We start from the raw sequence: 19,701 nt of genomic DNA on the forward strand, positions 1-19,701 counted from the left end.
GAGGGGTGTGCAGCCTCAACAAGTCCTAACCCACACTCAAGACAAATTAGATGAGGGACCTCAGAGATGGGTGACTCCTCCCAGAGCTCCAGAAAGGGTGGAAGTGCCTATCCTTGGCCCAGAAGGTAATTTTGAGAATTGAGAGCTTGAGTGTGAAAGGTTGTAAAAATCAGGCCGGGCACAGTGGCTCACACCTGTAATCCCAGCACGTGGGAGGCCGATGTCAGGCAGATCACCTGAGGTTGGGAGTTTGAGACCAGCCTGGCCAATATGGTGCAATCTACTAAAAATACAAAAATTAGTCAGGCTGTGGTGATGTGCGCCTGTAATCCCAGCTACTCAGGAGGCTGAGGCAGGAGAATCCCTTGAACCCGGGAGGCAGAGGTTGCAGTGAGCTGAGATCACGCCACTGCACTCCAGCCTGGGTGACAGAGCAAGACTCTGTCTCAAAAAAAAAAAAAAAAAGTTTGTGGAATTCAGAATAGCATTTCTCAGAAAGCCCCGCTACTGCTTGCAAACCTTTTTTTCTAATGACCGTGCACAGGTTTCACTGTCACAGGTTTAATTAAAGTCTTCTGCTTGATCTCAAGTAGCGTGGAGAAAAAATTCCTCAAAAGTGTTGCCATTCAGAGATATTTTCAAGGGACTTTATTAGAAGGACCATCATTTAAGGATGAGATGGTATGACAGAGGGTGACTCTGCTACACCAGGGAAGAACATGCTAGGGAAAACACCTTCTTTCTTTTAAGTCAAGTGTTTTCTGTGTCATCAGATTGCCCAATCATCCCTGGCATCTCTGCTTCTCAACCATAGGCTATGATGTGTATGGTGCTCCCATGAGTTGTGCAGTACACGACCTGCACAACCATATGTGGCAGTCCTGCCTACCCTCAATGGAAGCAGGATGGAGATGTTCCCCTGGGTAAACGTGGCATATGTCCCTCACTATAAGCAAAAAATCAGAGCAAGTGTGAAGTCAGAAGTCCACCCAGAGAGAGAGGCAGAGTTGCAGGACAGGGATGGAATTCCAGTTCTGGTGTTTGTTGTCTTGGAGGCCCAGCTTGACCTCTGCCCTTCCCTTCGCTTGATTATATAAGTTTTCCAATAATGTATTTTATTTTTAAAGCGTAAGTTAGGTTTCTATCACCAACACATTCTATCTAAAAGCCCAAGTCTTTTCCTTAACTTGTCCTAAATGGCCAGTTATTAAGAAATTCCATTGAGGGTTTGGCTGTTGCATACAGCCTTGTGGGCATTTTGCTTATCCACGTTGACTTTCTCATCTGGGACACTGGCCTACGTAGTACGTGATTCCAGCAAACAGGGCAGTATGTTGAGCTCTTGAAATAAGTATGTTGTGACAGCCTTTGTTACAGCATTAAAAGAACAGTCTACTCTCAATGGCTGACCCTTTATTTGTATGCTGACGTCAAAAACAAAACAAGACTGCAGACACACTCTTGCCAATGCTAGAAAGGATGCATGTTTGAAGTGGATTTTTTTCTATTTTTTTGCTTGGAGAGGAGGGTGTGTGGACACCAAGCTGGCCATGGTCCAAGCTGACCTATTTGCCAGCCGACCCCTGTCTGGGCTGCCATAACAAAGTGCCATCATGAACTGGGTGGCTTATAAACAACAGAAATTTATTTCTCACAGTTCTGGAGGCTAAAAGTCCAAGATCAAAGGCACCAGTAGATTTGGTAAACTAGGAAGCGGTGAGGGCCCACTTCCTGGTTTATAGACTGATGGCTGTCTTCTCACTGTGTCCTCAAATGGAAGCTGATGTTTCACAAATATTTTCTGGGTAAATGGATGGGTGAGTGAACTCATGAAGGGATGCTCCATTAGATGAACGCTTGGATAAAGGGCGTTAGTGGAGGGACAGAATTGCAGCTCCGTCCTCCCAGGGGGCGCTGCAGGCACGTCTGCTTGGGCAGGGGCCCGGCGGAAGCGCCGCTCTAGGCTGCAGCCGCGCCCCCAGCCGTATTTCCGCGGGCGCTGAGCACTAGAGAGAGCGTCTTGTGGCTGCGGCCTGCCCCTCAGCCTCCTCCGCGCGGTTACCCCTGTACCCGCCGCCATCCGTCCTGGCGCTCCGGATGAGTCAATGAGGGGCAGGGCCCGAGGAGTGGTCTTCCCAAGAACCCCTGGTGGCCTCCCAAGGCCGGTGCTGTGTACCTCCTCCCCGACAAAAGGGGAAACTGAGGCCCCGAGGGGAGTGGGAAGAGCCGGCTGGACGTCAGGCCCAGCCGCTGGTGCAGTGGTCCGTCCCCTCTGCCGGGGTGGGCCCCTCGGGTTTCGCGTGTCCTCGGGAAAGAGACTGGCGGGTGAGCCGCGCCCTCGGCCTTCGCTGGGCTAAGCCGACCCCATGCAGACGTCAAACCCCCCTAGGTCGGCACAGCCTCTCTGCGGGGAGGCTTAGTGCCCCCTTGAGAAACGGCTTGGCAACGCTGTGCCCGGGGCCTTGCACGCGGGCTGAGGGGGCTAGAGACCTCGCGACTTTTACTCCCCCGACCCCGATCTCCGACTCCTGACTTTGGAAGCCCCCAAAGCTGCTTTTCGGTTGCCTACAAAGTGTCGGTCATTGTGCCACGTCCTTGGAACCGTGAACTCATTTTCTCCTCAATAACCTTTAAAAAGTAGCTGTAAAACCTCCATTTTACAGACCAGTTGGCTGAGGTTTAAATGGAGGACGCTCCCAGGGCCCCAGAGGGGCGAATTCCAGACTCCTTTGCCAGGACCTTGTACTAAGCCCCTTCCCTACGCTTTTCCCTGCCTAGGCCTCGTGGGCTGTGCGGCTATCCTGGAGACAGATGACAGCTCTCCCTTGGATGGCTTTGCTGGTTCCGCACCAGCCAGCGCCCCCATTTTTCCTGCAGCACCCTGATCTGCACTCCCTGAGGGGCTCCCACTGTCCGCGGTGTGAGGATGTCCCTGGGTAAGTGGTGCTGGTCATGAGCACTTTGGGGGACCCTTCAAATTCCCTTCTGGGGGACCCCAGCGGAGGGCATGGTCATGAATTCCGAGAACTGTATGGCAAAGCCGGGTGCAGAGGAGAGCCTGGCTAAGTTCTTTCATTCTCCTGAGCTTGACTTTCTGTAATGTAGGGAAACTGCGAAAGCTCTGTAAGTGGGGAGATCTTGCACGTTTTTCTTGCTTTTGAACCCATGATGTCTGGCTACTTGTAGATACTCAATATTTGTGGGATGAATGAACAATTTAAGCCTTTTTTTTTTTTAACCAGAAATTGGTCTTCTGTGACTTTCTTGATGGGGGCAGATGAGATCTTTGTACTGCATTAAGTGGATAGCGCTCAGGTCCTTTGGGCTTGGCGCTTTGGCAATCTCCAGGCAGCTCACTTTGGCCTCTGTTCCTGGATCCCCTTTGCTCTTTTCTGCGCCTGCATTCGTAAGTGATCACGGGCTGCCCGTGTCCTGGTCATTGGTAGTGCAGGCAGAGGAAATGCGGGAAAGGTTGCTGTGTTTGGAGGGTCCACATCTTCACCCTCCTGTCCCAGGAGCTTTCCTACACTCCTCCTTCTCAAAGCTGCACACACCTGGGGCCTCCAGGGGATTGGGGGCTGCCGTGTGTGTTATATCATGATTAGAGCTTTCACTTCCTGCTCCCTGCTGTTGGGAACCAGGCTGTGTGTGTTGCTTAAATTCCCCTTGATGACCAGCAGAGTCACTGCCACTCAGCCATGGCACACTGCTGTAAACCTGGTTTTGATCTCCTTTCAATCTTTTGCTGATTAACTACACATTGATCAGTGTTGGCCACCCTCACCCTGCCATAGACCATCCGCTGTCTTCCTCTGTAGAGTTAACTATTTTCTCTTTTATGAGGAAATAGTGTGTTTGCTTAGGAGTGTTTACTGTCTGGTAACTACTGTGCTAAGCCCTTTCCTGTTGCCTGCCATCCCTGCTGCGAGCAGGGACAAGCTGGGTGCTCACTCATGGCATCTTATCTGTTGCAGATAGTCCACTGTGTGCAGAGGCATGGGAGTTGTCATGTTGGGAACATGCTAGACCTCAGTATCCTTGAGGTAAGATCTCTGGTTCATTCTCTGGAATGTTGGTTCCTTGTATCTAGTACAGTTCTGTACATGTTCCCAGGGGCTTTGGGGTTGGTGTAGGGGAGCTGAGAGGTGAGATGAGAATGGCACTGTGGGTCCCCAGATCCGCTGTCCACCCAGCCAACCCAGATCACCTCTGGCCTTTCCTGTGCCTTCCGGGCTTGCTGCTGGGGGGAAACCTCCAGAGTCCCACTTTGGTAATAAGAGGTCTCTGCCCTTTCTCCCTGGGCAGCAGGATGTTGTAATGGAAAATGAGTGGACCTAGGCTTCAGAGACTCTGGTCCCCTGGCTTTGAATCCCCTTCTGCCACTATCCCAGTCAAGGACTGATTCAGAACCTAATTTTCTTCATTTGGAAAATAATGTTCTGATAGAGGTGACTTTTGTGGTACTTGAGACCATATGATTCCTATCATTACCAACCAATATTTTCCGATTGTTTTTGCCCCATGTGACTTCTCTGTGATTCCTCCTGGCAAGGAAGTTTTACAGGAAAGCAGGGCCACTTTTGGGATCCTGTGCTGGGCTGGATCATTTTCCTGGACTGGACCTAGTCCACAAGCTGCTGGCATCTGTTTCTCCTCATGGATCTCTCTCTGCCCTTGTATACACCTGCATTCAAAAATGATCACGGGCTGCCTGTGCTCTGGTCATCAATAACGCAGGGAGAGGAATTGCTGAAAGCCGTTTCCCGTGTTTGGAGGGTTCACACCTGTCCCTTTCAAATGCTGGCGCTTTCACACACTCCTTCTCTCCTGCCAGCACCTTCTGGTCTCAGGAGCATTGCAGGATGTTGTGTGAGTGAGTGATGGGAGACACTTTAGTATGGCTTTTTTCAGCTTAGCCTCCTGTTATCAGAGAGCAGTCTCTTTCAGTGTCAAGGTTTGAGTACTAGATGGTGGAGAAAGCCTGTGTGAATTATTTTTAATGAATAAGTGTGATGATGGGTGGCATACAGTCACTGCCTTAAGATTTTCAAAGAGAAGCAGCCTTTTGGAGGTGGTGGGCCTGGGCAGGTCTTTCAAGGAGTGGGATGTGATGGGCAGTAGAAAGGTATTCCAGGGAGGGGTAGCAACATGAGAAGGTCTTTCAAGGATTGGGATGTGATGGGCAGTAGAAAGGTATTCCAGGGAGGGGTAGCAGCATGAGAAGGTCTTTGAGTCTGGGATGAGCAAGAGTGTCTAGTCCCACCAGGGAGACAGATGTGTAGGCAAGTAATGACAGCATGGAGGGATGGCTGCTGGGGTGATCCTTGGCTCCCAGCACGGCGAGGTGGACATCTATGGGAGGGGCCCTGAGAGGTCTCTTGAGCTGTCTTTCTGCCAGTTGCACATCTGCTCAGTTGCCTGTTAAGACTCTTAAGACAGTTTTGCTGGACTCTTAAGTTTTTATTTTGATATTCTTTGGGAGCATTGAGATTCCTTTTTGAGATGAGTTTGGTATGAAAGAAACTGGCAACTCATACCTGATTGATTAACTGGGGGCATTCCCATTGACATCAGCTTGAAGAAAGACGACAGAACACTGGAGACCAAGTACTTACAGCCTTCTGCTCTGTGGCCCCTCCTCACTCCAGGGATGCTGCCTTGGGTCTGGAAACTGTTAGAGGAAACCCCAAGAGGTGCAGGCACTGAGCCTCTCAGGACAATGACCTGGGGTCCCAGCTCCCCTGGAGGGGCCTCCTCATGGTAAGTGAATGCCAAGAGGTTAAGTTGGCCTGTGTTTCCGAGGTGGAAATTCCAGGTCGCTGGCTTCATTTGTCTTCTCTTTTAGATTGTTTGGGGGTTGATCACAGACCAAGAGTGACGAGTGATGTCACCCTGTGACTCATGGCTGGACCTTCTTGCCCCTATTGTCTCAGCACAACATTATTCGACTTTTCCCTCAGCGTGGGTGGGCAGAGGAAAAGCCCTGTGGCTCTGGGGACTTGGGATCCAGAGTTGAAGACCCTTCAGCTGGCTCTGCCCTGCCAGTGCCACAGAGTGCCATGGCCCAGGAAGACAGGTTTTCTTCCATCTAGGCCAGGCCATCCAGTGGCCATCCTCCGTGTCCTCCCGCCTCCTCCTGGTGTGACTTCTGAAAACCAAGAATTTGTTCCTGTTGACTTTTTCTGTGCTATGGACCATTGTCCTCTCACCCACTCAATAAATCTTGAAACATGCCCTGCTGCTTGTTCTTTCATTTTTGTGTGTTTGGTTTTTTTTTAATCAGTATCTCCGTGTGCCAGCAAGACTGGGTGTAGAGAGTGGGTCACAAGGGCAGGTCTTCTGGTTCTCACTCATTAAGACTTTCCCCTTGACACATACCCAAGGCTTGACCTAGGGAATGTGAGATGGGACGTGGGATTTGGACCGGGGTTGAACAATAATCCCAAGTGCATCTAGGGGTGGGGGGGTTCAGGCTTAGGAGAGAAGGGGAACTCTTAGGATTAAGTTGGCAGGGGAAACATTTGAGCCAAGGCTTTGGGAGAGAAGACTATGACGGGATAACTTAGGGATGGAGGCAGGGGCTGGAGTCCTTGAAGAATGCAAGAGTGCCCTGAGCTCAGGTGGTGGATTGCAGGTGAATGTAGGAGTTGGTTTTGAGCAGAGGAGAGAGTGGAGTATATGAGGAATAGCTGCACTTGGAGAGCTCTGGGGGTGTGGCAGGCAGTGCCAGCCGCTGGGGCTTCTGTTACCATGAGATAGATTTGGTCTTTGGGGATTCTCTTTGGTAGCAGTGATCGCAGTGATGTGCTTACGTGTGCATTGTATGTGTGTCACCACCTCCATATGTTGCTCTGTCCTCATTTTTCAGGTAAATTTCACACAAGAATGCTCCCAAAGGCTATGGTAGAAAGTTGGGAGTCAGTTGGTCCCACTCCTTCAGTTGAAATAGAAATCACTGTGACTAAGCCGGGCATGGTGGCTCACGCCTGTAATCCCAGCACTTTGGGAGTCTGAGGCGGGTGAATCACTTGAGGTCAGGAGTTCGAGACCAGCCTGGCCAACATGGTGAAACCCCATCTCTACTAAAAATACAAAAATTAGGCATGGTGGCAGGCACCTATATTCCCAGCTACTCAGGAGGCTGACGCAGGAGAATCATTTGAACCCGGGAGGTGGAGGTTGCAGTGAGCCAAGATTACGCCACTGCACTCCAGCCTAGGCAACAGAGTGAGACTCTGTCTCAAAAGAAAAAAAAAAAAAAAGAAATAACTGTGACTAGGGTTGAGGGAAACCAGGCTGTCAGGCATCTCTGATGACCTCTGCCAGCAGGAGACATTCTTGGCTGAAGAGTCCGCTCTGCCAGCCATCTCTGGCGAGGGCCTTATTTCTGCATTGCCCCCCTCCTTATTCCTACCCAAGAACCACCTGACACCTCTGGTTTGCTCTCTTGAAGATCCCCCCACCTGCTGCAACCCCTCTCTAGCCGGTTTTATCCAACTGTGGCCTTTGTCCTTTAGTGAGAAATGACCACATTTCCCCCACCAAAGAAAGGGGGCCAAAATTCTCCCCTTTTCTGAGTCCACTATTTTTAGTGAAGTTTTACACTGGTTGGTGCCTTGAATTGGTAGACCTGTCTTTCCTTAGCAAACTGACCCCTCTCATAGCTAAGCAGGTTCCTGTCAGCTAATAGGACAAGTGTCTACACTACACTCCCTTCTTTAATCTCTCGTTCTCTTTCTCTCTCTCTCATGCTCTTCTTGACCCACTACCTCAATCCTGCAACCTGGGGGTCCCTTACGCCCTTTTTAGTTTGTTCTATGGGAGGCAACAATGATGGAGTACTGAAAAACAAGGGAAGAGGTGAGATTGCCACGCAGTGGGGGAAGAGAGTGTCAGCTATAGAGATAGGATCACTTACTGTGGCTTGGCCCCCTGGCATAAAAGTTTTCTTACTAAGCCAGACTGGTTGATTTGTGGAGGGTTCCCTCATTTATCACCCTATTTTCATGCATCCTAGTGGTTGCTGGCTGGATGTGAAGGTTGGTGAACTAATATGTTAGAAGCTCTTAGCATAGCACTTGGCACATAGGAAGTGCTCGATGAAGGATAGCTCCTCTCAATCACTAGAACTTCCTTTCCAATTGTAAATGGTCCTCATCGCTGGCCCAGCCTCTTAGGTCTTTCTTCTCCTGCCCTCTGCCACCCTCGCCCGACCCTACCCTCAGCCTCTAGCCTAGACTTCCCATTCTCCCGAGGAGACAGCAAGGCCCTCCTCACTCTGCCTGTGGCCTGCCTGTCCACCCTTTTCTCACACAAGCACCCTAGGCCTCAGCCACCCTTCTGCTTAAGGTCCCTGAACATGTTCTTTTCCCGGCCTATGCGCCTGGAATGCATCCTCCGCTTCAAGCTCAGCTGACTCAGCTTGTGTCACTTTCTTCAGGAAGCCTTTGCTGGCGGAACCTCCACCCAGACTGGATTCCCCGCCCCTCCTTCCATTCATATCAATTATCAGTTCTGTGCAGGCACAATTCTAGGAACTGGTAAACAAAACAGGCAAAAGAGCAAATCCCTGCTTTGTACTTACATTTTGGAGGACAAGGACATATCATAAAACAAAGTACTAAAATAGGTAGAATGCTTGAGAAATGTTAAGGAAAAAAAGTCATAAAGCAGGGAAACAAGATAGGAAGTTTGGGGACCAGCAGAGGGAGTGGCATTTTAAATTGAGTAGACACGACGGCCTCCCCAGGAAGGTGAGATTTGACTAAAGTGAGGAGCTCTCACTGCTGGGCGTTCACTGCAGGCTGTTTAAGCCGCCATCACTGCATGGACCATGGACAATAGGAAGCTTTTTCCTGGCCGAGCGTGGTGGCTCACGCTTGTAATCCCAGCACTTTGGGAGGCTAAGGCGGGCGGATCACGAGGTCAGGAGATCGAGACCATCCTAGCTAACACGGTGAAACCCCATCTCTACTAAAAATACAAAAAATTAGCTGGGCGTGGTGGTGGGCGCCTGTAGTCCCAGCTACTCAGGAGGCTGAGGCGGGAGAATGGCGTGAACCCGGGAGGCGGAGCTTGCAGTGAGCCGAGATCGCCCCACTGCACTCCAGCCTGGGCAACAGAGCGAGACTCTGTCTCAAAAAAAAAAAAAAAGGAAGCTTTTCCTTTGGATACCAGGTTCAGTGAAGTGGGGAGACAACAGGCATCTGAGGCCACTGCAGTGCTGCTTCTGATTATGAACGTTTCACCATGTTGTGAAGGTGCAGCTGAATCAAGCCAGGATTAACTGGTCAGCACCTGGATGGGTGTGTCTAGAGGCCAAGCTCTGCACCTGTCAGCTCCCCATCCCCCTCACCTCCAACCATAGCTCAGTGGTCTAGGGAAGCTCAGTCACCCAAGGACAGCCTTGATAGGCCTAACCCATCACCTTGGTCCAGGACCCATAGCAGTGATCACTGAGCCCTGCAGTGTTTCTGCTGGGAGAGTTCTGCATGTCAAGAGACTGAGTAATTGGTTGCAGAAACAGGAAGAGACAGAGTAATTAAGTCTTAACAGCAGCCTAGGAGCATAGAACATTGAGCTCCTGTTGCAAGTTTCTAGAACTCACAGGTGGAGAATGAAATTTCAGTTTCCAAACCACGTTCGTGCTCCTCCAGGCATGACTGTGAGCAGTATTCTGATTTGCCATGAGGCCTGGGGATTCAGTTTTTTCTGAATTTTTATAAGGCATGGCTATGTGACCAAGATTCCTTTTCGTTTTTTTAAAAAATTTTTTAGTTTATTTTTTGAGACAGTCTTGCTCTGTCACCTAGGCTGGAGTGCAGTGGTGTGATCTTGGCTCACTGCAACCTTTGCCTCCTAGGTTCAAGTGATTCTTCTGCCTCAGCCTCCCGAGTAGCTGGGATTACAGGTGTGCACCACCACACCCAGCTAATTTTTGTAATTTTAGTAGAGACGAGGTTTCTACTAAACCCCCGTCACGTTGGCCAGGCTGGTCTCAAACTCCTGACTTCAAGTGATTCTCCTGCCTCGGCCTCCCAAAGTGTTGGGATGACAGGCGTGAGTCACCATGCCCAGCCTGTTTTTAATTATTTATTTATTTTAAGACAGGGTTTTACTCTGTCGCCCAGTCTGGAGTGCAGTGGTGCAATCTGGACTCACTACAGCTTCAACTTCTTGGGCTCAAGCAATCCTCCTGCCTCAGCCTCATGAGTAACTGGTACTACAGGTGTGCGCCATCAGGCTGGGCTAGTTTTTGTATTTTTTTGTAGAGATGGGGTTTTACATTGTTTCCCTGGCTGGTCTCGAAATCCTGGTCTCAAGTGATCCTCCCAAATTGGCCTCCCAAAGTGGTGGTGTTACAGGCATGAGCCACCACACATGGCCTCTTTTTTTTTTTTTTTTTTTTTGAGAGCCCTTACATTCACTACTTCCATTACTAAAGGGAGCAAAATGAATCTTTTCTCATTATAGTCAAAAAGCATACCAACATAATGCCTGACGGGTGGAAGGTGCTCAGTCAACATTTAGGGATGAGGAATGATACCAGCAGATGCCTTGATAGTGTGCGCCAGAAATGACTCATGCAGGCCCCTCTGCCTCTGTGGGTACGACTGATAATAGGTGGGCCTGGTGAAGTCACTAAGAATCTGATGTGGCTGGGCAAGGTGGCTCGTACTTGGAATCCCAGCTACCCAGGAGGCTGAGGTGGAAGGATCACTTGAGTCCAGGAGTTTGAGACCAACCTGGGCAATACAGTGAGACCCTGTCTCAAACAAACAAACAAAAACACACGAAAACCTGATGCTGTCACTTAATTGCTATGGGGCCTGGAGCACATTATTTTGCCTCCCTGACCCTCAGCTTCTGGCTGTCTAATTTGACCATCAACATAGCACTTACCCCAAATAGCAATGATGAAGATGATGCATGTTAAATGCGTAACATAGTAACTGCCTTGCACGGAGTGCTTGATAAATGTCTGCTGTTTTTATTTGATGAGCACATATAGCTTGTTGATAGTTAAAATGAAGAACAAATATAAAATGTCATTATGACAGGCTCATCTGCTAAGGCACCACAAATACTTTCTTCTTTCTTGTTTGCTAATTTGCAGACATCCCAGCGGGGTTGGTGTTAGTCACTGCTACCATTGATTGAAATTCTGTTAAGTCCCACGCACTGTATTAAGCCTGTATGTATAATTACCTCACTTAATCTTCACAACAACCCAGTGAGGTAGATTTAATTATTTTCCATTTTACAAATAAGGAAACCAAGGCTCAAAGAAATGGAAGAGACCTGTCTCACACCTAATGAGTGGCTCAGCTAGTTTTCCATTTCCTGCTGTATTAAATAGTGAAAAATGTTTCAGGCTGACTGATTTCATAAATAGCATAAGCATACCAAGCTTATCAGATGCTTGTTTGTACTGGAATACTGGAAATTAGGATATTTTACTATTTGTTCCATCTGCTTCAAATTATTGCCTATTATTTAGAGTTGCTGAAATAGTCTTCATCTAAATCAGTGGTTTTGCAGATTGAACTTATGAACCTGACATGTACAGGGACAATAGCCATGTTTTAGCCAACACCAAAATATCAAGTGTCCTTCCCACTACTGTTGTGTCTGAAGCAAGAGTCATCCAAGACCCACAGAACTTGAGGAAACTTGAGAAGGGTATCACCAATGTGGCCCAATAACCAGGATTAGCATCAAGAAGAGCCACGATCCTACCAGGAAACTGTTGCCTGGCACCAGAGTCCCTGTGACACAGTGGGTGGGAGATTCCACGGCAGAATTGAGCCAGGAGAATGAAGAACTGGACAGAATGAAGGTTCATTTGTCCATCCAAAAGATATTTATTAGGCACTGTGCTGGGAATAGAGATACCATGATGAACAAGAAAGTTGTTGCCCTCAAGAGGATCGCATAAACGTGTATAGATGATAAGTTATATGAATTCACACTCCAGATACTTATGGAACAATCACTATGTGCTGGGCCTTGCTCTCAGATGGGCATTTGGGTCTGAACAAAGCAAATGAAGGAGTTTATAGTATAGGACAATGCTGTCCAGTTAAAAAAATAATGTGAGCCACATATATAAAATTTCATAGTAACCTCATTAAATAAAAAGCAGGTGAAATAAATTTTGGTAATATTTATATATTTTATTTAGCCCATTACATCAAAGAATGTTGTTATTTCAACACGTAATTAATATTAAAAATTATCATTATTATTATTTTGAGACAGAGTCTCGCTCTGTCACCCAGGCTGGAGTGCAGTGGTGTGATCTTGGCTCACTGCAACCTCTGCCTCCTGGGTTCAAGTGATCCTTCCACCTCAGTTTCCCAAGTAGCTGGTATTACAGGCATGTGCCACCTTACCCTAATTTCTGTATTTTTAGTAGAGATGGGGTTTTGCCATGTTTGCCAGGCGGGTCTCGAACTCCTGGCCTCAAATGATCCACCCGCCTTGGCCTCCCAAAGTGCTGAGACTACAGGCATGAGCTACCTTGCCCAGCCAATATTAAAAGTTATTAATAAGATTTTTCCCCAAATGAAATCTTTGAAATCTGGTATATATTTTATACATACAGCACATCTCAGTTTAGACTAGCCACATTTAGAGTGCTCAGTAGCCACATATGGCGAGTAGCTATCTTACTGGACATCATAGATTTAGACAATAAGGGGTTCAAGGATGCCTCCTTTACAGGAAGGCTGCTGCATCTTGTGGGGGCTTAATGAAGCTGCTCCAGCTTGGATCCCCCATTCTCTGGTATCCCCTCTCCTCCATCTTGGCAGAGCAGGGCGAGGTATATATCAGGCATGCCTGATGGAATCCTGCCTCATGTTCCAGAGCCTTCTGGAGGCAAGACACCGAGTCCTGGGTGTGCTTCTCTAACACAGATCCTACTGGAGTTAACTTTAGTGTACCCAGCGTTTGTTATTCAGTCAGTCACTACCTGTTTACTAAGTGCTGGCCTCTGTGCTAAGCACTGTGAATGCACGCCAGTGAAAACAGACATTTGTTAGCTCATAATTTCATCAAGATAAACAAGATGCATAAATTGTTAAAAACTCTGAGAAATTCTACAGAGGAAGAGGGAAAGGTGCTGCAAGAGTAAATAGGGCACCTGACCTCTTGGGAGTCAGGGAAGTAGACTTAACTGAGCAAAGGAGGAGAGTGGTCCACATCCAAAAGCTGCGTGGAGGATGCAGGGAGGAGCTCAACGGTGGTTGGTGTGGCTGGCATGCAGCCCGGAGTGGTGTGAGCACTGGCTTTGGAGTCACAGATCTGGTCCAACTTAACTGGGTGACTTTGATGACAAGTTTTAAACTCTGTGCGCCTCAGTGACCTCCTATAGAGGGATGTGGTGAAGATTAAACAGATTGATGTTTGTTTTTTTAAGACGGAGTCTTGCTCTGTTACCCAGGCTGGATTGCAGTGGTGCAATCTCCACTCACTGCAACCTCCACTTCCCGGGTTCAAGCTATTCTCCTGCCTCAGCCTCCCGAGTAGCTGAGATTACAGGCGTGCACCACCACACCTGGCTAATTTTTGTATTTTTAGTAGAGACGGGGTTTCGCCATGTTTCACCAGAGTGGTCTCAAACTCCCGAACTCGTGATCCGCTAGTCTTGGCCTCCCAAAGTGCTGAGATTACAGGCATGAGCCACCACGCCCTGCCATGAGCAGCTATTTTTTTTTTACATAAAACTTTTATTTTGGAATAACTTCAGATTTACAGAAAAATTTAAAACCTGGTACATAGAGTTCCCATATGCCCTTCACCCAGCTTCCCCTAATATTAGCATCTTATGTAACCATGACACATTTGTCAAAATTAAGGAATTAACACTGATACATTACCATTAACTGAACCACAGACTCTATCTGGATTTCGCCAGTTTTCCCATTGATGTCCATTTTCTCTGCCATGCAGAATAGCACATTACATTTAGTTATGTATCCTTAATCTCCTCCATCTGGAATGGTTTCTCAGTCTTCCTTTGTTTTTCATGACCTTGACAGTTTTAAAGTGTTGGTAAGATATTTTGTAGAATGTCTCTCAATTTGGATTTTTCTTTTTCTTTTTCTTTTTTTTGAGATGGAGTCTTGCTCTGTTGCCCAGACTGGTGTGCAGTGGCACAATCTCAGTTCACTGCAGCCTCCATTTCTCAGGTTCAAACGATACTCATGCTTTAGCCTGCCGAGTAGCTGAGACTACAGGTGCGTGCCACCATGCCCGGCTAATTTTTGTATTTTGTTTTGTTTTTTTGAGATGGAGTCTCCCTCTGTCATGCAGACTGGAGTGCAGTGGCGGGATCTCAGCTCACTGCAGCCTCTGCCTCCTGAGTTCCAGTGATTCTCCTGTCTCAGCCCCCTGGGTAGCTGGGATTACAGACGTGCGCCACCATACCTGGCTAATTTTTGTATTTTTGGTAAAGATGGGCCTTCACATGTTGGCCAGGTTGGTCTTGAACTCCTGACCTCAGGTGATCCACCCGCCTCGGCCTCCCAAGTGCTAAGACTGCAGGTGTGAGCCACCTCACCCGGCCTAATTTTTGTATTTTTAATAGAGACGGGGTTTCACCATGTTGGCCAGGCTGGTCTCATACTCCTGGCCTCAGGGATCTTCCCACCTTGGCCTTCCAAAGTGCTGGGATTACAGGCATGAGCCACTACACCCGGCCCTCAATTTAGGTGTTCCTAACATTTTCTCATGATTAGACTGGAGGCTACGGGTTTCTGGGAAGAATACTCCAGAGGTGAAATGCCCTTCTCATCACATCATATGGGGGGTACATTATATCAATGTGACTCATGATCAGTGACATTAACCTTGATCACTTGGTTAAGGTGGTGACTGCCAGACTTCTTTGCTGTGAAATTCTTATTTTTCCCTTTTCGTACCGTAATATTTGGAACATAGGTTTGATTTTAATAGATATTTTAAAAATATATATTTAGAAATCTTTACCCACACTGAGAGAATGTATATATTTTTCTCAAGCACCTTTGGGGTATGTATTAATATTGTTTGCATATTTACAATATTTACAAATATCATCTACAGCATAGAATGTGGTAACTTTGATGCTGCAAAGCAAGTCTCAAATATTAATACCAGCACATCAGTATCAGGAATAAATGGGCTGGGCGTGGTGGCTCACGCCTTTAATGCCAGCACTTTGGGAGGCTGAGTCGGGTGGATCACCTGAGGTCAGGAGTTTGAGACCAGCCTGGCCAACATGGTAAAACCCTGTCTCTACTAAAATTATAAAAATCTTCCAGGCATGGTGGCGCGTGCCTGTAGTCCCAGCTCCTCAGGAGGCTGAGGCGGGAGAATCACTTGAACCCGGGAGATGAAGGTTGCAGTAAGCTGAGATCTTGCCACTGCACTCTAGCCTGGGCAACAGAGCAAGACTCTATCTCAAAAAAAAAAAAAAAAAAAAGGAAAGATGACGACTGCAATATGTCACTACAATGTAAAGTCTAAATAAAAACAAAACAAATGTTAAAAATACTCAGACCTGAAGGGTAATGAAAATACTGTATTATCAAAACTTGTATGATGTATAGCTAAAACAGTACATAGGAGAAATTTATAGCCTCAAATGCTTTCATTGGGAAAGAACTTCCCACCAGTAAGGGAGTGTGTGACTCATTACACAGGTTAGACGGAAGTTCAGAGAGTTCTCCCTGGTGTCTTTGGCATTTCTCCAGGATTTTTGCAGCACTCCGAGGGAATCAGAGCCCCAGTAACTACTGAGATTGAATGAGCCACTAGTGCAGTACAATGCAGACACAGAACAGATTATATTTTATTCCACAAAGAAAAGGAATGAGATCTTTTCCCACCTTACCTTTGTGAAATATGTTCCATTTCCATTGGAGGTGCTGAAGGAAATCAGGTTTTAAGTCATGTTTTATTTAGATCTGCTAGAGAGACTGTGTTTTGTTTTTCTTTTTTTTTTTTTTTAATTGATCATTCTTGGGTGTTTCTCGCAGAGGGGGATTTGGCAGGGTCATAGGACAATAGTGGAGGGAAGGTCAGCAGATAAACAAGTGAACAAAGGTCTCTGGTTTTCCTAGGCAGAGTGTTTGTGTCCCTGGGTACTTGAGATTAGGGAGTGGTGATGACTCTTAACCAGCATGCTGCCTTCAAGCATCTGTTTAACAAAGCACATCTTGCACCGCCCTTAATCCATTTAACCCTGAGTGGACACAGCACATGTTTCAGAGAGCACAGGGTTGGGGGTAAGGTCATAGATCAACAGGATCCCAAGGCAGAAGAATTTTTCTTAGTACAGAACAAAATGAAAAGTCTCCCATGTCTACTTCTTTCTACACAGACACAGCAACCATCCGATTTCTCAATCTTTTCCCCACCTTTCCCCCTTTTCTATTCCACAAAACCGCCATTGTCATCATGGCCCGTTCTCAATGAGCTGTTGGGTACACCTCCCAGACGGGGTGGTGGCCGGGCAGAGGGGCTCCTCACTTCCCAGTAGGGGCGGCCGGGCAGAGGTGCCCCTCACCTCCCGGACGGGGCGGCTGGCCGGGCAGGGGGCTGACCCCCCACCTCTCTCCCAGACGGGGCGGCTGGCCGGGCGGGGGGCTGACCCCCCCACCTCCCTCCCAGACGGGGCGGCTCGCCTGGCGGGGGGCTGACCCCCCCACCTCCCTCCCGGACGGGGCGGGGAGCTGACCCCCCCACCTCCCTCCCGGACGGGGCGGCTGGCCGGGCGGGGGGCTGACCCCCCCACCTCCCTCCCGGACGGGGCGGCTGGCCGGGCGGGGGGCTGACTCCCCCACCTCCCTCCCGGACGGGGCGGCTGGCCGGGCAGAGGGGCTCCTCACTTCCCAGTAGGGGCGGCCGGGCAGAGGCGCCCCTCTCCTCCCAGACGGGGCGGCTGGCCGGGCGGGGGGCTGACCCCCCACCTCCCTCCCGGACTGGGCAGCTGGCCTGGCGGGGGCTGACCCCCACCTCCCTCCCGGACAGGGTGGCTGCCGGGCGGAGACGCTCCTCCCTTCCCAGACGGGGTGGCAGCAGGGCGGAGGGGCTCCTCACTTCTCAGACGGGGCGGTTGCCAGGCGGAGGGTCTCCTCACTTCTCAGACAGGGCAGCCGGGCAGAGACGCTCCTCACCTCCCGGACAGGGTCGCGGCCGGGCCGAGGCGCTCCTCACATCCCAGACGGGGCAGCGGGGCAGAGGTGCTCCCCACATCTCAGACGATGGGTGGCCGGGCAGAGACACTCCTCACTTCCTAGATGGGATGGCGGCCGGGAAGAGGCGCTCCTCACTTCCTAGGTGTGATGGCGGCCGGGCAGAGACGCTCCTCACTTTCCAGACTGGGCAGCCAGGCAGAGGGGCTCCTCACATCCCAGACGATGGGCGGCCAGGCAGAGACACTCCTCACTTCCCAGACGGGGTAGCGGCCAGGCAGAGGCTGCAATCTCGGCACTTTGGGGGGCCAAGGCAGGCGGCTGGGAAGTGGAGGTTGTAGCGAGCCGAGATCACGCCACTGCACTCCAGCCTGGGCACCATTGAGCACTGAGTTAACGAGACTCCGTCTGCAATCCCGGCACCTCGGGAGGCCGAGGCTGGCGGATCACTCGCGGTTAGGAGCTGGAGACCAGCCCGGCCAACACAGCGAAACCCCGTCTCCACCAAAAAAATACGAAAACCACGCAGGCGTGGCGGCGCGCGCCTGCAATCGCAGGCACTCGGCAGGCTGAGGCAGGAGAATCAGGCAGGGAGGTTGCAGTGAGCCGAGATGGCAGCAGTACAGTCCAGCTTCGGCTTGGCATCAGAGGGAGACCGTGGAAAGAGAGGGAGAGGGAGACCGTGGGGAGAGGGGAGAGGGAGAGGGAGACCGTGGAAAGAGGGGAGAGGGAGAGGGAGAGGGAGACCGTGGAAAGAGGGGAGAGGGAGAGGGGAGCTTTTTTTTTTTCTTTCTTTGGTTGGCTGATTTTGAGACAGAGTCTCCTCTGTCGCCGAGGCTGGAGTGCTGTGGTGCAATCACAACTCACTGCAGCCTCAACCTCCACTCAGCAATCCTCCCGCTTCAGCCTCCCAAGTAGCTGGGATCACAGGCACATGCCACCATGCCCAGCCAAGGGTTTCACCATGTTACCTAGGCTGATCTTGAATTCCTGGGCTCAAGTGTTAGACTCACTTCGGCCTCCCAAAGTGTTGGGATTACAGGCGTGAGCCACTGCACCCAGCCTGTTTTGTTTGGGGCAAGGGTTTTAACATTTATATATATATAAATATATATATATTTTATATATACAAATATATATATAAATATATATTTATATATATTTATATATAATATATTATATATAAATATATTTATATATAATATATTATATATAAATATATTATATATAAAATATTATATATAAATATATATATTTATATATATAAATATATATAAATATATATATATATAAAAATACCAGCACATCAGTATCAGGAATAAATGGGCTGGGCAGTATATATATATATATATATGTATATATATATACTGTTTTTCATATATATATACTGTCTTATATATATATATACTGTTTTACATATATATACTGTTTCATATATATAATGTTTTATATATATACTGTTATATATATTATATGTACTGTTATATATTTTTTATATATATACTGTTATATATATTTTTTATATATACTGTTATATATTATATATATACTGTTATATATATATTTTACATATATACTGTTATATATATATTTTATATATATATACTGTTATATATATATATTTTATATATGTATACTGTTATATATTTATATTTTTTATATGTATACTGTTATATATATATTATATGTATACTGTTATATATATATTTTATATGTATACTGTTATATATATATATTTCATATATATATACTGTTATATATATTTTATATATATATACTGTCATATATATATTTTATATATATACTGTCATATATATATTTTATATATATATACTGTCATATATATATTTTATATATATATATACTGTCATATATATATTTTATATATATATACTGTCATATATATTTTATATATATACTGTCATATATATATTTTATATATATACTGTCATATATATATTTTATATATATACTGTCATATATATATTTTATATATATACTGTCATATATATATTTTATATATATATACTGTCATATATATATTTTATATATATATACTGTCATATATATATTTTATATATATACTGTCATATGTATATTTTATATATATACTGTCATATGTATATTTTATATATATACTGTTATATGTATATTTTATATATATATACTGTTATATATATATTTTTATATATATACTGTTATATATATTTTTTTATATATATACTGTTATATATATTTTTATATATATACTGTTATATATATATTTTATATATATACTGTTATATATATATTTTATATATACTGTTATATAGATACTGTTATATATATACTGATATATATACTGTTATATATATACTGATATATATATACTGTTATATATATACTGTTATATATATATACTGTTACATATACATATATATACTGTTATATATATACTGTTATATATATTGTTATATATATACACATATATATATACATATATATATACATATATATATACATATATATATACATATAT

General features: G+C 46.7%; 1 long non-coding RNA gene and 2 other non-coding genes across 3 annotated transcripts, besides 2 other annotated features; all 3 read left to right on the top strand.

Moving 5' to 3' along the window:
• Positions 1,803 to 1,852: an enhancer, noted in NCBI's record as "active region_17859". NCBI's record gives its function as "activates an Ori minimal core promoter by ATAC-STARR-seq in GM12878 lymphoblastoid cells {active_cell/tissue: GM12878}" and the evidence as "EXISTENCE:reporter gene assay evidence [ECO:0000049][PMID:35858748]".
• On the top strand, positions 1,967 to 6,234 carry SNHG11 (small nucleolar RNA host gene 11). Its single transcript, NR_003239.1, has 5 exons — positions 1,967 to 2,325; positions 2,779 to 2,936; positions 3,975 to 4,043; positions 5,649 to 5,760; positions 5,846 to 6,234. It is a non-coding gene; the product is annotated as a small nucleolar RNA host gene 11 (long non-coding RNA).
• Positions 2,802 to 3,356: an enhancer, noted in NCBI's record as "H3K4me1 hESC enhancer chr20:37076132-37076686 (GRCh37/hg19 assembly coordinates)". NCBI's record gives its function as "activates a minimal SCP1, AML or CMV promoter by ChIP-STARR-seq in naive H9 embryonic stem cells {active_cell/tissue: H9 hESC(naive)}" and the evidence as "EXISTENCE:reporter gene assay evidence [ECO:0000049][PMID:30033119]".
• On the top strand, positions 3,396 to 3,531 carry SNORA71E (small nucleolar RNA, H/ACA box 71E). The gene has a single exon (NR_002972.1). It is a non-coding gene; the product is annotated as a small nucleolar RNA, H/ACA box 71E (small nucleolar RNA).
• Positions 4,682 to 4,817, top strand: SNORA60 (small nucleolar RNA, H/ACA box 60). The gene has a single exon (NR_002986.1). It is a non-coding gene; the product is annotated as a small nucleolar RNA, H/ACA box 60 (small nucleolar RNA).
• Positions 6,235 to 19,701: the final 13,467 nt, after the last annotated feature.

Source organism: Homo sapiens, chromosome 20 (assembly GCF_000001405.40).
Source record: "Homo sapiens chromosome 20, GRCh38.p14 Primary Assembly".
Lineage (NCBI taxonomy): Eukaryota > Metazoa > Chordata > Mammalia > Primates > Hominidae > Homo > Homo sapiens.